Below are 3,344 nucleotides of genomic sequence, written 5' to 3' on the forward strand. Positions count from 1 at the left end.
GTAATTTGTTAGAGTGTATTTCACACACTGGGAAATATCCAGACTTGTACATTTAATGGCAGCATTAAATGCTTCTGTATGCCACTTAATGAAACTACACTTCAATATGAATGTAAAATTAAGGGTAGAGACCTCACAACATCCTCTGCTGCAAGTCATGTACAATATCCAAAAATTAATTCCATGAATAATTATTAAAAGTTTACTTTGATTTCCATTTCTCTAATAAGCAGTAATGATGAGCTTTTTTTCATATGTTTATTGGCCGCTGTTGCTTAGGTTTTCTTCTATGGTTTTTATGATTTGGAGTTTTACATTTAAGTCTTTACTCCATCTTGAGTTAATTTTTGTATAAGGTGTGAGGAAGGGGTCCAGTCTTAGTTTTCTGCATATGACTAGCCAGTTTTCCCAGCGCCATTTATTAAATAGGGAATCATTTCCCCATTGTTTATTCTTGTCAGGCTTGTTGAAGATCAGATGGTTGTAGATGTGTGGTGGTATTTCTGAGGTCTCTGTTCTGTTCCATTTATCTACATGTCTGTTTTGGTACCAGTACCATGCTGTTTTGGTTACTGTAGCATTTTTTTAACAGTGAATTCCAGAAAAGGAGTTAGGTTTATTATTGTAGGTTAGTAGTCTTAATTGGATAGCCTCTGTATTTTTTGATAAGTTCTTATTTTAAGTGACGATGTAACAGGATCTGGGATGTAATGTGAGGTCCTTGTCAAAATAGAAAGCATGTATCATAGATTTCTAAATAGTCATGCAGAGCAGCTAAGATATGCAAGAAACTTGCCCAGCAACAACTATGTAATTTTTGCTAACCATATGGTATTCTTTCTCCAATTGCCCTTCATATTTTGTATTCCAAATGATTAGCTAATAGTTTATAATTGTTTATGTTAAGTATTCATTTCTTGGTCTAAAAATCTTAGTAACTTAGAATTTGATAATGTTACCCAGGGGAGAACAAAAAAGAAATATATATTAATTTTCTCTTTGCTTTATGTCTGTTTTAAATAATTTTTGAATGAAAAATCTGCCCTTGATGATTAGTTGCTTTGTGTTAAGAGTGCTTTAATGGTCTTTTATTAAGCTTTATTAAAAAATGGTCTTTTGGACTCTTTAATAAATTTTTTTTCTGATTTCCTAATGAGGTCTTCCCATGTAGCCAATCATTTTCCAAAAGGCCTGATTTAGTAGTCACCCACTTCTCTGAATAATTATTCAATTTAGCCAGGTGCAGTGGCTCACGCCTGTAATCCCAGCACTTTGGGAAGCCAAGGCATGTGGATCACCTGAGGTCAGCAGTTTGAGACCAGGCTGGCCAACATGGCAAAATCCTGTCTCTACTAAAATACAAAAATTAGCCAGGTGTGGTAGTGCTCGCCTGTAGTCTCAGCTTCTGAGGAGGCTGAGGCAGAAGAACCATTTGAAGCTGGGAGGCAGAGCTTGCAGTAGTGAGCCAAGATCGTACCACTGCACTCCAGACTGGGTGACAGAGCAAGACTCTGTCTGAAATAAAAAAATAAAAAAATAAAATCAGTTTACATGTGTGTGTTTTATATGAGCTTTGTAGAAAAAAATTAAATAACATTTATTTCTGACAGCCTTTTATACTCGATGATTTAAAAATAAAAGAAAAAATTATGAATTTAGTTTACATTAGTTTATAGCAAGCCATGTAGTATTACATTGTTAATATTTCACTTCTCCAGTCCCTTTACATAAGAGATGTGCTGAAATAGCTGGGTCATGACTTTAAATAATAAAGAAGATTTTGCTATTGGATGGTGCCAATTTCGGTAAGACAAATTGGTGAAATTGGAGGATTTACTTGTGGTCAGCTTTTGTTTTTTATTTATACTGATTCTGTATTCTCATTTTTGATGTTTGGTTCCTATTAAAGGTCACTAATAATTTTATCTTTTGATCTTTTGTGGAAATAATTGAAGAACAACCAAATAAGAACAGACAAAAGCTATTTTTGAAAGTTTGTCATAGCAAGAGAGTCATTACCCTCATCTGCACTTTGGCAGAGACCCAAAGATAGACAAAGGAGTGGAAAAGCTTGATAGTGGAAAAACGGAAAGCTTCAAGCGTGCCCTGATTGGAGGCTGTTAGCGTTGGGGAGCTGTAGGCAGTCTAACTAGAAGCAGGGCATCCCATGTGATTGATTAGGAGTGTATATTTGGCTTCCTCTGTCCTGTCTGATATTTGAAGTAGAGACAAAAATTAGGGAAGCTGTCAGTTATTAATCAATTCCTAGAAATTGTAGGCTTATTGTTACAGGAGTTATTGTTTCTTTTCCTAAAATATTTGCTAGAGATAGTTGTTTTACTTCCTGAAAGTTTAACTAGTGGATATTAAATAGTTCAGGTTAGTAGATAATAGTTTGCCTTTCCAGGCTGGTTATTCTAGATGACAAGTCGATTTCTTGGGCTGCAGATTTGTGAGTCAAATTTCTATGTTTTATTTACGGCCATTGTCCATTTGTTTATCTAGTCTCAGTTTTCATAGGTAAACTTTAGACATTATTGCCTAAAAGTTTATATTAATTCTGGGTTGATGAGCAAAGTAATGGGTACAGATAAGTATACCTTTTTTAATCTGCTTATTATTATTATTATTATACTTTAAGTTCAGGGATACATGTGCAGAACGTGCGGGTTTGTTACATAGGTATACACGTGCCATGGTGGTTTGCTGCACCCATCAACCCGTCATCTACATTAGGTATTTCTCCTAATGCTGTTCCTCCCATAACTCCCCACCCCCTGACAGGCCCTAGTGTGTGATGTTTTCCTCCCTGTGTCCATGTGTTCTCATTGTTCAACTCACACCTATGAGTACACCAAGGGTTAATTAAGAAAATAGCATTGATCTAAAATGCATTTGCTATCTTTTTGTGTTTGTCATATATTATAGAAATATTTGTTATCACTTGAATACCTATTGTCAAACTCCTGTTTTTCAAGACAAGACTTTTAAAAAACAGTCTAACTCATTTGGATTGGATTTGCAAGAAAAAAAATGGCCTTTTTACTTTGGGAAATTTCTAGTCACTTCAGCTGATTGTCTGTAAAGGGAAGGTAGCATTCATTGATGAATAACCATGTTTACCTTAGATTATGGTCTTTTATTCCCGAGGGTGATGTTTAAACTTCTTCAAATTCTGAGGAGAATGAAGTGCATTCATAAAAATATTTTTGCCATTTATTGAATTTCTTTTATATACTAGAAAATTTCCTACCTTTATATATATTTTTTTCAATGGCATCTCTAATGAGCAGTATAGATATACTTAAGAAAATGAGACTCAGGGAGTCCCTACATTCTGGCAG

The sequence above is a fragment of the Homo sapiens genome, chromosome 21, assembly GCF_000001405.40.
Source record: "Homo sapiens chromosome 21, GRCh38.p14 Primary Assembly".
NCBI classification, from domain to species: Eukaryota; Metazoa; Chordata; class Mammalia; order Primates; family Hominidae; genus Homo; species Homo sapiens.